The sequence below is a fragment of the Homo sapiens genome, chromosome 16 (genome assembly GCF_000001405.40).
Source record: "Homo sapiens chromosome 16, GRCh38.p14 Primary Assembly".
Taxonomy (NCBI): domain Eukaryota; kingdom Metazoa; phylum Chordata; class Mammalia; order Primates; family Hominidae; genus Homo; species Homo sapiens.
In genome coordinates, this window is record NC_000016.10 from 30028321 (window position 1) to 30041462 (window position 13142).

The 13142-nt window shown below is 52.4% G+C and overlaps 1 protein-coding gene across 12 annotated transcripts in view, besides 2 other annotated features; it reads right to left on the reverse strand.

Annotated features, from left to right (window-relative positions):
- TLCD3B (TLC domain containing 3B) overlaps positions 1 to 13142 on the reverse strand; it is a 28614-nt gene that overhangs the window by 3894 nt on the left and 11578 nt on the right. For 3 of the 12 annotated variants that reach the window (XM_005255613.4, XM_017023751.2, XM_017023750.3), the window contains 4 exons: positions 12675 to 12836; positions 7835 to 7894; positions 7031 to 7161; positions 1112 to 1195 (listed from right to left, as the gene is read on the reverse strand). In XM_005255613.4, coding sequence (XP_005255670.1) covers positions 1112 to 1195; positions 7031 to 7155 — 209 coding nt within the window. In that variant the 5' untranslated portion in view covers positions 7156 to 7161; positions 7835 to 7894; positions 12675 to 12836. Of the gene's footprint in view, positions 1 to 1111; positions 1196 to 1739; positions 1817 to 2082; positions 2952 to 7030; positions 7162 to 7834; positions 8211 to 12674; positions 12837 to 13142 lie in introns of those variants that run through there. The other 9 variants (XM_017023752.2, XM_024450464.2, XM_047434736.1 and 6 more) reach the window with 9 other exon arrangements.
- Positions 160 to 1004: an enhancer, noted in NCBI's record as "H3K4me1 hESC enhancer chr16:30039801-30040645 (GRCh37/hg19 assembly coordinates)". NCBI's record gives its function as "activates a minimal SCP1, AML or CMV promoter by ChIP-STARR-seq in naive H9 embryonic stem cells {active_cell/tissue: H9 hESC(naive)}" and the evidence as "EXISTENCE:reporter gene assay evidence [ECO:0000049][PMID:30033119]".
- Positions 6831 to 6920: a silencer, noted in NCBI's record as "silent region_7348". NCBI's record gives its function as "represses an Ori minimal core promoter by ATAC-STARR-seq in GM12878 lymphoblastoid cells {active_cell/tissue: GM12878}" and the evidence as "EXISTENCE:reporter gene assay evidence [ECO:0000049][PMID:35858748]".

Genomic DNA, 13142 nt, shown 5'->3' on the forward strand with positions numbered 1-13142 from the left:
TCCTCCCCACCTACCTGAGGATTAAAGCAGGGAAGACGGACAGGAACAGACACAGGGGGGCCTGGGGAGCAGGGGGTACAGAAGCTAAACGGTGACCTCTGCATGTGAAGGCTGGGGAGGAAGTGCTGGATCCCAGGCTCAGCTTGGAGCAGGGGAGGGAAGGGGTGGGCAGAGGCCAAGAAGCAGCCAAGTCCCTGGGCGGGGTCTGAAGAAAGAGTTAAGCCAAGAACTGTCCTCTGCAGCTGCCACTTAACTCAATTCCTCTCGCTGAAGCCCTTCCAGGAAGGGCCGCTGCCTCACCACAGAAGAGGCAACTCATCTTCGGGAAAAGAGGAGGCAAACAGAAACAGGGCACCCCCCATCAGGGGCGTCCAAATGTTCCCTGGGACTCAGTGGCTGCCACAGAAGGGAAGCGGTGCTGAAAGCTACAAAGGGGGCGTTGTGGGCACCTCTAAGGCAACTTGCAACGGGCCACCCGTGGGTCACCTAGGGCGGCCGTCAGCACCACGGACAGGGCCCCTCTCCTCCCCGTCCCCCCGCCTCCTGCCTGCACACCTCTGGGCCTTTTTGGCAACCACCAGACACTGCAGCAGCTGCCTGGCCACATTTTGGCCTCTTCACCCTCATCCCCTCCCGCACTGCCTGGCCGTGTGTGGCCTTGTGCGTGTCATCTCTCCCTTGTCCTCTCCCTCAGGCATGGAGTGGATGCCGGATGCCTGGATTATGGGAAGGGCTGAGGGGTGAGCCTGGCATGAGGAGGGGGCACCCCATCTGGGTGCTGGCTGGAAATGGGGTCTGCCTCCTGGGGTGGAAGGCAGGGAGGAGGTGGGGAACCACGACAACACGGGAGACCTGGAAGCCGACTAGAAAGCGCTTTGAGGATCCTCTCTGATCCCCGCTCCTTCTCCCCCTGGTTCTGACCTTTAAGGACAGGACAGGATAAATTTATCCCTGGGTGTTGAGTTGCGGTTATTGCAGTTAACTTGCTCAGGCCCAAGTTAAGGGCTTGGGGACCACAGACAGAGTTCCCTCCAAGATGTGGGGTCTTCCGGGATTACCCGTACACGCCAACCACTGGCACCTGGGCAGGGGGGTGTCTCGCAGCACTTACTGGTCATCAATGATGTGCTTGCAGGAGGTGGAGACGATGTAGCCGGCAGTGGAGGCCATGATGGCCTGGACAGAGGACACCAGCCTGGGGGAGAGAGGGAGGCGTGCTAGAAAGGCAGAAGGGAAGAGGCGTGTGCCTTGATTTCTCCTCGTTGCTAGTCTAACGACTGCGCTTTGCGTTCAGCCACTTCTCGGGCCAGTCCTTGCCTGCCTTCGCCCAAGGCTGGGCTGCCTGAGGTGTGCCCCACCACAGGTACCTCACGGCTCTCCGGCCCGCTCGGCTGCTGTTCCTCAGTCCACCCCACTCCTTGCCACCTTCTTCCTTCCCCATTTGTGGAAACTGAGTCTCCCTCTTCTCAAGCCCGCAGGGTGTCTGTCCTGAGGTGAGACTGAGAGTGAACTGCTGGCCTGGACCTCTCCCCACGAGGGGAGCCTGGGCCGGTTCTTGCCCCGCTTAGCTGTCCAGTCATGACGCAGGCCTCACTCTGGACCCTTTGTGACCCCGAGTTCCCCAGTCACTTTCCCACTGTCTCCTGACTGCCACCAGCCTCCACTCTGCACTCTGGCCCTGTTCTAGGGGTGTAGAGTTGTACCATCCACTCCTCCATCCCTGGCCCCCAAACACTCACCCTGAATGACACCTAGCTGTCTGGCCCTGGCCTCAGTCCCTAATGTCTTATAGGAATGTCTTCGCCGCATGCTGGCCCTGTTTTGGAGGGTGGGAGGGTGTACGGGGAAGAAGAGAGAGGCGGGCTGAACACTAGTAGACCAGATGGCCGGGCTGGATGAGGTCTCCCAGAACAGTGAGCAAGGCAGGCAGTGAGGAGAGAGGAAGCCTGGGGGTAAAGCCCCGGACCCCCACAGGAGCTCCCAGTCCCCCACCGCTGAGGGTCCAGAGAAGTGCCAGGTCCCTTCCATTCCCTGAGAAGCCCAAGAAGCAGACAGGGGCTGAGGGGAAAGAAAGTGGTTTACCTGGCTGAGACAATGACTGCGTCGGCCTCCTCCCAGCGTAGCTGGGGCAGCCGCTGGAGCGTGTTCTTGGAGAGGAGGAAGAGTCCGGGGAACACCACCCCCCCGGCCACCATCGGGGTCAGCATGGTGGCTCAGGACTTGGGCAGGGAGGCAGGCGGGCCGTGAAGGGGCAGGGAGGCCGAGTGGAAGGAGTTAGGGGTGGAGAAGGGACGCCAAGCCCGGGAAGGAGGGAGAAAACGATGAGAAGGGGCACAAAGGGGCCAGGGCGGGGACGGGATGGGGCCAGGGAGTCCGATGAAACTGGGGAGTCGGGAGGGGGCTGGCTGGGCAGAGACGGGGGAGGGGAGGATGGGAGAAGGGGAGCAGGAGCAGGCCAGCGAGGGATGGGGAGAGGCAAAGAGGGGATGGCTTGGTGAGGGACAGAGAGGAAGAGGGGACAGGAGGAGGAGGATGCGGATGGGGGAGGGGAGGGAGCCACCAGGCAGGTGGGGAGGGGAGGCTTACGTGAGAGGCTGGGAGGGCCCGAGGAGGCGGGGAGGGGGTGGGGGTGGGTCTGAGTACCAGCCCCAAAGGAAGGAGGTGGGCGGGAGGGAGCGGAGGAGCAGCCGGGCAAGCGGTCAGCGGTCACCACCGCTCTCCTGGCTCCACTGCCTCCTCTCGCTGCCGCCCCAGTCCCTGCCGCCCGGCACAGACACCGCACATGGCATCATCATAGAGACTCCGTGCCCAGCCCCCTGCCCCCTCGGTGGGGAGGGGGAGGGGGAGGGGAAGTGGCCAGCTTGGGGAGGACGGGGGAGGGGCAGGAAAATGATGGCACCGACCAGACACCGAGAAACCGGACCTGCAGCGGCGTCTCCCCATGCAGCTCTGAGCCACAGCCGCGGCTGCGACAGAGATGGGGGGAGCAGAGAAAGAGGGAGGGGGAGGCCCTTAAAGGAACAGCAGCTGCGGTGGCACAGGGGGCTGCTGGGGACAGGGGACAGGGGCCAGCTCTTCTCTTGGGGAGGAAGGGGGCCCAGGGCTCCTTGGCCAGCTGGGAGGGGGCCCTGAGCCCCCACAGGGGCCTGACCCTGCTTCCCATCAGCACTTTGCAAATGCCTGGCATCTCCTCCCTCACCAAGCCATCCCTCTGTGGCCTGCCCCGGGTCCGAGCTTTGGGTGGCCATTCCAGCGGAAGAGAGCGTTCCCTGGGAGAGGGAGTAAGTGGTGCTTTCTCAGAAGGAAGAGCTGAAGGAGGGGATAGGAGCAAAAACATCTCAACACAGCATCCTCAGAGCCAGAGGCCCCCTCACCCGATGGCGGGGAAGGAAGCTGACATTGGCCAGAGGGGGCACCTGACTGTGCTGCAGGGCTGCCCATGTCCTGTCTGCTGCAGGAGCTCCGAGGTCACTGCGTCTGTCCTTCCCACAGGGCCATCAACGATCCTGAGGCTCCCTGAGGTCACCCAGTTCAGAAGTGGCACAGCCCTCTCATTGCAGGCGTTGGAGGGGCAAGGAGTGGAAGAAGGGGAAACGGTGGCGAGAGCGCGGGGCAGCTGCCTCTCAGGAAGTCCCAGGGAGCCCTAGGATGCCCAGGCCCTGTTCTTCAGACTGCCAGCCCCTCCTGGCCTTCTCTAAATTCCCACCCCTCACTTTTTCCTCAGTTTCCTTAATGCTACTAGCTCCCCTTTCTCTGCAACTTCCACATACAGCCTAGTTTCAGAGTGGGAAAGGACTGCGGGGTGGGCTGGTGCAAGCTCCTCACTGGCCCATAAGGAAAGTGAGGCCTGGGGACTGGGCCCGGGTGGAGCTGTGGGACCTGAGCCAGAGACACTGCCCCCTTTGACTTCTGGCCTCCCATCCTGCTCCCAACTGTCCTGTGGACTTCAGCATGACAAGGGCCTGTTATGCAAACTCCTTTGGTCTCCAAGTTCAATAGTCAACCCTATGGTTTGCCTTTCTCTGCCAGAGCCCACTCCTCGCCTCCCCCAAAGAAAGGCCAGGGACTGGGATTTGCTGTTTTGTGCTGCCCTCTAGCGGCAATCTGTAGGAAAGCACCCAAGAAGTCTCACGCTGATTTAGAGACGGTTGTAGAGACAATAGCGGACCTAGCTCCTGTCCTCAGCCCTTCACGGGAGGGGGAAAGGGGATCCAGCTCCCTGAGTTTTTACTACATGCTGGGCACAGTACCAGGTGATTTCTACTGGTTCTTACTTGGTATCCCTGTTTTACAGAAGAAACAGGTTTAGAAATTTTGTGGGGTTTTTTTTTTTTTTTTTTTTTTGAGATAGGGTCTCATTCTGTCCCCCAGGCTGGAGTACAGTGGCGCGATCATGGCTCACTGCAACCTCAACCTCCCCGGGCTGAAATGATCCTTATACCTCAGTATCCCCAGTAGCTGGGACTACAGGCGCACACCACCATGCTCAGCTAATTTTTGTATTTTTTGTAGAGATGAAGTTTCACCACGTTAGCCAGGCTGGTCTCAAACTCCTGGGCTCAAGCGATCCACCCACCTCTGCCTCCCAACATGCTGATATTACAGGTGGGAGCCACCACGCCCGGATGAAAGCTGGGTTTCAAACCCATGGTTGCAGCCGGGCAAGGTGTCTCACACCTGTAATCCCAGCGCTTTGGGAGGCCAAGGCTGGCGAATCATGAGATCGAGACCATCCTGGCTAACACAGCGAAACCCCGTCTCTTCTAAAAATACAAAAAATTAGCCGGGCATGGTGGCATGCGCCTGTAGTCCCAGCTACTTGAGAGGCTGAGGCAGGAGAATTGCTTGAACCTGGGAGGCGGAGGTTGCAGTGAGCCGAGATCGTGCCATCGCACTCCAGCCTGGGCGACAGAGCGAGACTCCATCTTAAAAGAAAACAGAAAAACCAAAAAACCATAGTTGCATAACCCCAAAGCCACTCATGAGCAAAACTGCAAAAAGGACAGAGGCTGGGGAGGCTGGGTGATGGGCGGCCACCGTAACTACTCGATTGAGGACTACAAGGCTGGTCATGGAACTGTGGTTTCACTTTGGATGAGTAGAGACAGGCTTTTTTTGTCTGCCAGGGAATCCACGTAGACACCCTAGTAAAATCTGTGTTCCGTGTACCTCCTACGCCTCCTGTGGTTTGCTGATACTGCACTTTTATGGTAAGCTTTGTCACACAGGTCATAGATCTGCAGCCCAAGGGCCCAATCCGGCCCACAGACATGTTTTGTTTGGCCAGTATGCAGTTGTCAGTATAGTAGTTCTTAAATAAATTCTTAGTTACTTATCAGTATTCAAGAATTGGAAGAGGTTGGGCGTGGTGGCTCATGCCTGTAATCCTAGCACTTTAGGAGGCCAAAGTGGGCAGATCACCTGAGATCAGGAGTTTGAGACCAGCCTGGCCAACATGGTGAAACCCCGTCCCCGTCTCTACTAAAAATACAAAAATTAGCCGGACGTGGTGGTGCACACCTGTAATACCAGCTACTCGGGAGGTTGAGGCAGAAATGTTGCTTGAACTTGGGAGGTGAAGGTTGCAGTGAGCCAAGATTGAGCCACTGAACTCCAGCCTGGGCAACAGAGTGAGATTCTATCTCAAAAAAATAAAAAGAATTGGGAGACAGCCCACCACAATGACATGCACCTGTAGTCTCAGCTACTCAGGAAGCCAAGGCAGGAGGATCACTTGAGCCCAGGAGTTCAAGACCAGCCTGGGCAACATGGAGAAACCCCGCCTCTACTGAAAGTACAAAAATTAGCCAGGCATGGTGGTGCACACCTGTAGTCCAAGAAACTCAGGAGTCAGCCCGATTCTCAGGGAGAATCACTTGTCAGGGAGGTCAAGGCTGCAGTGAATCATGGTGGTGTCACTGCACTTCAGCCTGGGTGACACAGTGAGACTCTGTCTCAAAAAAAAAGAAGAGGCCGGGTACAGTGGCTCATGCCTGTAATCCCAGCACTTCGGAGGCTGAGAAGGAACAATCCTGTGAGCCCAGGAGTTCAAGACTAGCTTGGGCAACATAGTGAGACCCTGTCTCTACCAAAAAAAAAAAAAAAAAAAATTAGCCAGGCTTGGTGGTGCATTGCCTGTAGTCCCAGCTATGGCAGGAGGATTGCTTGAGCCCAGGAGTTCAAGGCTGCAGTGAGCCATGATCGTGCCACTGCACTCCAGCCTAGGCAACAGAGCAAGACCCTGTCTCAACCTGTCTCAACAACGACAAAGAATCATAACTCCGAAAATATTGGCCCACGTTCTAACCATATAACATTATCAGTGGCTGGAGCTGAGCAGCACTGGCCCTCAGCAGAGAAGGTGAGTCCTCCAGCCTATATCATCCCTGCAGAGCCCACAGCCCTCATATTATCTGCAGCAGTTTTCAACCCCTGCTCTACAGACGCTGATTCATATGATCCTCACACAACATCTCCACGAAGAAAGGAAAGTGGGGTGTTATTATTAAGCCCATTTACCAGTGAGGGATCTGAAGTTCAGAGAAGTTAAATGACTCACAAAAGACCCCACTGTTGGTGTCTTTTTTTCTTTTTCTTTTTTTTTTTTTTGAGACAGAGTCTCACTCTGTCACCTAGGCTGGAGTGCAGTGGCGCCATCTCAGCTCACCACAACCTCCACCTCCCGAGTTCATGTGATTCCCCTGTCTCAGCCTCCAGAGTAGCTGGGATTACAGGCACCTGCCACCATACCTGGCTAATTTTTGTATTTTTAGTTCAGACAGGGTTTCACCATGTTGGCCAGGCTGGTCTTGAACTACTGACCTCAGGTGATCCACCTGCCTCAGCTTCCCAAAGTGCTGGAATTATAGGCGTGAGCCACCACGCCCAGCCTGCTGGTGTCTTTTGACTCCACATTCCAGCTCCACTCCACACTCTGCTTCTGCTTTCACCACAAACTCATTCTGAAAGTAAAAGATCAGTTCCACCAGCCATGGCCCCAGGAAGGACACCCTCACCCTGGTCCTCTTACTTGGATGCTACCAGGACAGCCTCTTGTCTCTCCATCTGCAGGTTGGTGTGGTTCTGCAAGCCCCAGCGCAGGGCAGTGAAGCACAACGGGAAGAAGACGCAACCCACTGCGAACAGCAGGGTCATGCCTGCCTGCAGCCAAGAAGGCAGAAAAAGACGGCCATGAGAACACCTCAACACAACACCCTCAGACCCCCCAGCAGCCTTCTTCACCCCCAATGAGGCAAGCCCCAAGAGACCCATCCATCTGTGGCCATTGAAAGCCACCAGGCAAACCTCTTCTCTAAGCTCCTAGCATCCTTATTACTCTTTTAATATTCCTCATCCGGGGCAATTCGACATCCTAATTATCCCAATTTTTTGTTTTAAACACTCAATTTAGACAATTTCTTTTCTTTTCTTTTCTTTTCTTTTTTCTTTTTTTTTTTTTGAGATGCAGTCTTACTCTTGTTGCCCAGGCTGGAGTGTGGTGGCGTGATCTTGGCTCACTGCAACCTCCACCTCCCGGGTTCAAGCAATTCTCCTGCTTCAGCCTCCTGAGTAGCTGGGATTACAGGCGCCCGCCACCATGCCCAGCTAATATTTGTATTTTCAGTAGAGACAGGACTTTACTGTGTTGGCCAGGATGGTCTCGAATTCCTGACCTCAAGTGATCTGCCCGCTTCGGCCTCCCAAAGTGCTGGGATTACAGGCATGAGCCACTGCACCCAGCTCCTCCTACTCTTAAACTCCACCATTTTCCATCTTCTGCATGCCCCGCCCGCCGCCCACCCTAAGTCACCTCTACCTTCTCCCCAGTCCTCACCTCAGAGGGACAGGTTGGAAGACAGAAAGGGAGGTTGATGTTTCTCCTCAGCACCCAGAACTTGGAAAAAGGAAGGGAGGGGGTTGTCAAGATATTTGGAACTTTAAAATGACATTTGTTGAAAAAACAAAATAAAGCCAAAGCGATTGTTGTTCCATTAAAAAAGAAAACAAAAGAAATAACAGGTGCAAGCCTGAAACTACATATATTTACATAGATATCATTTTTGTTTAGAAAGACCTCCCCTCCCATCTACTCTGGGGAGCAGAGGTGTGGAGCAGGCACAGGCAGGATGAAGGGAACCAGGTCCTGCCATCCTGCCTTCCTGAAGTGTCTTCCAAGGGACCTTCTCGGGATAAAAGGAAGGTGTCAAACTGCAAAGGCACGAGGCTGCTCTGTAGAGGCAGTTGGGGAGGGCAGGAGTATGCTCTTCCATTGGTGGAGTGGCTAGAAGGTGCCATCCTCCTAATGGCCCGCCAGTTGATACATGTGCCCTATCATTTGCTTCCTGTGGGGGCTGGGGGGCGGTTCCAGCAAGCCTTGCCTAGAATTGGCCAATTAGAATCCATTGGTGACTTGATGGACAGCTATGTTTCAGGGACAGGGCTCAAAGAAAGAAAAGGAGAGGGGAAATAAGAGCAGGTGCAGGGCCGGGCGTGGTGACTCACGCCTGTAATCCCAGCACTTTGGGAGGCTGAGGCGAGTGGGTCACCTGCGGTCAGGAGTTCGAGACCATACTGGCTAACATGGGGAAACCCTGTCTCTACTAAAAATACAAAAATTAGCCAGGCGTGATGGTGGGAACCTGTAATCCCAGCTATTCAGGAGGCTGAGGCAGGAGAATCGCTTGAACCCGGGAGGCAGAGGTTGCAATGAGCCGAGATCTCGCCACTGCACTCCAGCCTGGGCGACAGAGACTCTGTCTCAAAAAATAAATAAATAAATAAATAAATAATAAAATAAAAAAAAAACAGCAAGTGCAGTGGTTCAGGCTGGAATCCCCGCACCTCAGAGACCGAGGTGGGAGGATCACTTGAGGCCAGGAGTTCAAGACCAGTTTGGGCAACATAGTGGAACCCCTGTCTCTACAAAAAATTAGAATAATAGGCCGGGCACGGTGGCTCCCGCCTGTAATCCCAGCACTTTGGGAGGCCGAGGCGGGCAGATCACGGGGTCAGGAGATCGAGACCATCCTGGCTAACACGGTGAAACCCTGTCTCTATTAAAAATACAAAAAATTTAGCCAGGCGCGTTGGCGGGCGCCTGTAGTCCCAGCTACTCCGGAGGCTGAGGCAGGAGAATGGCGTGAACCTGGGAGGCGGAGCTTGCAGTGAGCCGAGATGGCACCACTGCACTCCAGCCTGGGCGACAGAGCGAGACTGTGTTTCAAAAAAAAAAAAAAAAAGAAGAAGAAGAAGAATAAAATAGTCCAGTGCAATGACATATACCTGTGGTCCCAGGTACTTGGAAGGATGAGGCGAAAGAATGGAAAGAATTGCTTGATCCCAGGAGTTCAAGGCTGTAGTGAGCTATGATCATACCACTGCACTCCATCCTGGGCAACAGAGTAAGACCCTGCCCCCCCAAAAAAGTAGTCCTAAGTAATTATTGATTTAAAAGGCGGTGTAGGATAAAAGGTAAAGAAGGCCATTTCTACTGTGGGTGTACATGGACTTCAAATTCAGAGTCCACAGATAATCAAAGAAACATTTCACTTCCCTATTGCTGAAATAAAGAAACAAATAAAGAAACACACTGTATGGCTCTGTTTACATCAAATTCAGAAAAGCAAAACATCTATCATGAAAAATCTGAACAGCGTTTAACTTGGGGAAGGTATTGACTGGGAGGAGACCCCAGGGAACCTTCTGAAGTGTTGGAAATGGCCTTATATTGATCACCAGTGTATACATATGTAAACATTCTCGAGGCATCCTCTTAAAATGTGTGCCCCTTAAGTGAAGCTGCAGTTTTTAAAATTCTAAATTTAGGCTCTTCCTTTCTCTGAATGATGGTGGGCAAAGCCTTTATGGGCCTCAATTTCTTCATCTGTGAGGTTGGGTTAATAATTAGTGTCACATCATTAAATGCTGCTTAGACTACAGGTCAGACATTGATCTGCATTCTCTGACTCTAAAAGAAAAAAAAAAGGCCAAGTGTGGTGGTGCACACCTGTAGTACCAGCACTTTGGGAGGCCAAGGCAAGAGGATCACTTGAGGACAGGAGGTTGAGGCTGCAGTGAGCTTTGATCACGAGACTGCACTCCAGCCTTGGGCCACAGAGTGCGACTCCGTCTCTAAAAAAATCAATTAAGGGCTGGGCGCAGTGGCTCACGCCTGTAATCCCAGCACTTTGGGAGGCCAAGGCGGGCAGATCACAAGGTCAGGAGTTCAAGACCAGCCTGACCAACATGGTGAAACCCCATCTCTACTAAAAATACAAAAATTAGCTGGGCATGGTGGCATGTGCCTGTAATCCCAGCTACTTGGGAGGCTGAGGCAGGAGAATCGCTTGAACCTGGGAGGCGGAGGTTGCAGTGAGCTGAGAAGCCGAGATCACGCCACTGCACTTCAGCCTGGGCGACAGAGCGAGACTCTGTCTCAAAAAAAAAAAAATTTAATTAAAAATATCAAGTCATTTATCCAAAGCAACCTTGTGGGTAGGGATTATTACTGCACCTCTGTTTTACAGATCAGAAAACAGAGGCACAGAGAGGTTTGGTAACTTGTCCAAGGTTAAACAGTCAGGAAGTGAATAAAAATTTTTTAAAATCATATTTTCTGAATTTATTTGTCCCTATAATGTTAGGCAGATATAGAAAACATAAACTTATTTTCCTAAGGAACTGAAAGGCTTTTTTAAAAAGGAGGGAAAAAACACCACTGAATACAATTTAGACATCCTCATTCATATTTTCAGAACTTATCCTTCTCCTCCTCCTTCCTCTCTTTTTTTTTTTTTTTTTTTTTTTTTTTTTTAGATGGAGGTTCGCTCTTGTTATCCAGGTATCCAGGCTGGAGCGCAATAGCGCAATCTCAGCTTACCGCAAACGTCGCCTCCCAGATTCAAGCGATTCTCCTGCCTTAGCCTCCCGAGTAGCTGGGATTACAGCCATGCGCCACCACGCCTGGCTAATTTTGTATTTTTAGTAGATATGGGGTTTCTCCCTGTTGGTCAGGCTGGTCTCGAACTCCTGATCTCAGGTGGTCTGCTCACCTCAGCCTCCCAAAGTGCTGGGATTACAGGTGTGAGCCACTGCGCCCGGCTTCTTCCTCATATTCTTTTGAGACAGGGTCTCACTCTGTTGTCCAGACTGGAATGCAATGGCATGATCCTACCTCATTGCAGACTCAAACTTCTGGACTCAAGCAATCCTCCTTAGCCTCTGCCTCAGCCTCCAGAGTAGCTGGGACTACAGGTGTGCACACAACACTCAGCTAATTTTTGTATTTAAAAAAAAATTTTTAGCTATGTTCTATGGAAAGGAATCTTTGTACTTTTTATAGAGATGGGGTCTTGCTATGTTGCTCAGGCTGGTCTTGAACTCCTGGCCTCAAGCAATCCCCTTGCCTTGGCCTCCTAAAGTGCTGGGATTACAGGCATGAGCCACCATGCTCGGCCAGTGTTTGCTTCTTTAGCTACTTTATTTTCTTCCCTCTGGATGGGACTCTGAAAATTAAAAGTTAAACCAAGAGCGGCCAGGCATGGTGGCTCACGCCTGTGATCCCAGCACTTTGGGAGGCAGAAGGGGGTGGATCACCTGAGGTCAGGAGTTCGAGACCAGCCTGGCCAACATGGCGAAACCCCATCCCTACTGAAAATACAAAAATTAGCCAGGTATGGTGGTGCACATCCGTAATCTCAATCACTCAGGAGGCTGAGGCAGGAGAATTGCTTGAACCCAGGAGGCGGAGGTTGCAGTGATCCGAGATGGTGCCACTGCACTCCAATCTGGGCAACACAGCAAGACTTTGTCTCAAAAAAAAAAAAAAATATATATATATATATATATATATGAAAAGATCCTGAGCTGGGGTCTGAAACCAGGCAGCCTGCCCTGCTATTTGCCCAGCTCCTGCATAGCTCATTGTGAGGACTAAATCATGCCAATGCATAGAAACTACAATACTTCACACGGTAGCCAGTAGCCAGTTACTGTCATTCTGAGCACCCACTGTATGCCAGGCACCAGGCTGAAATACTTTATATACATGTTCCCGTTTAATCATCTATGCCACCTTACAAATAACTTCCTCATTTTACTGCTGAGAAATCTGAGTCTCAGAAAAGTTGAATGACATGCTTCAGACCATACAGTACATGACAAAATCGGTAAATGTGACCGCTGCCTTCCAAGTCTGGAGAAAAGGAGGCGAAGAGAGGGGAAGGCATGAGGGGAGGAGAGAAGGTGGGAGAGGGAAAAAGGGGAAGAGAAGGGATGAGAGTAGGAGAGGCAGAAGGAGTGAGGAGGAGTAGCACCCCTCTGCAGTTATTTTCTTTTTCTTTTTTTTTAAATTTGAGACAGAGTCTCACTCTGTCACCCAGGCTGGAGTGCAGTGACACAATCACAGCTCACTGCAGCCTCCACCTCCCGGGCTCAAGTGATCCTTCCACCTCAGCCTCCTGAGTAGCTGGGATGACAGGCGTGCACCACCACACCTGGCTAATCTGGGGAGGTTTTTTTTTCTAGAGATGGGATCTTGCTATGTTGCCCAGGCTGGTCTTCAACTCCTGGGCTCAAGCGATCCTCCTGCTTCAGCCTCCCAGAATTCTGGGATTACAGGCGTGAGCCACTGAGTGTGACCAGGGATGGTCATTTTCCTCTGCACCTGTGCTTACCCTAGACAAGAAAATGTGGAAGGGAGGAAAGTTTACAGGCCATGAGCTGGTTAGAGTCAGGCCCGAGTCTCACTGGAATCTGGACTCTCTCCTACATTTCTTCCTTTCCTTGTCGATTTCTTCTTGTTGAGAGCAAAACAGTCCAAGGCTGCACAGGCTTGTCTGAGAGAGAAAATATGAGAGGAGAAAATTGTGGTTTTGAGCAATGGCTTTAAATTTTTTTAATAGTGACCCACAAGAGATATCTTTTATTTTATTTCTTTATGTATTTATTTTTTGTTTGTTTGTTTTGTTTTTTTGAGACAGAGTCCCACTCTGTTGTCCAGGCTGGAGTGCAGTGGCACAATCTCAGCTCACTACAACCTCCACCTCCTGCGTAAATGATTCTCCTACCTCAGCCTCCCAAGTAGCTGGGATTACAGGTGCATGCTACCACGCCTGGCTAATTTTTGTATTCTTAGTAGAGAC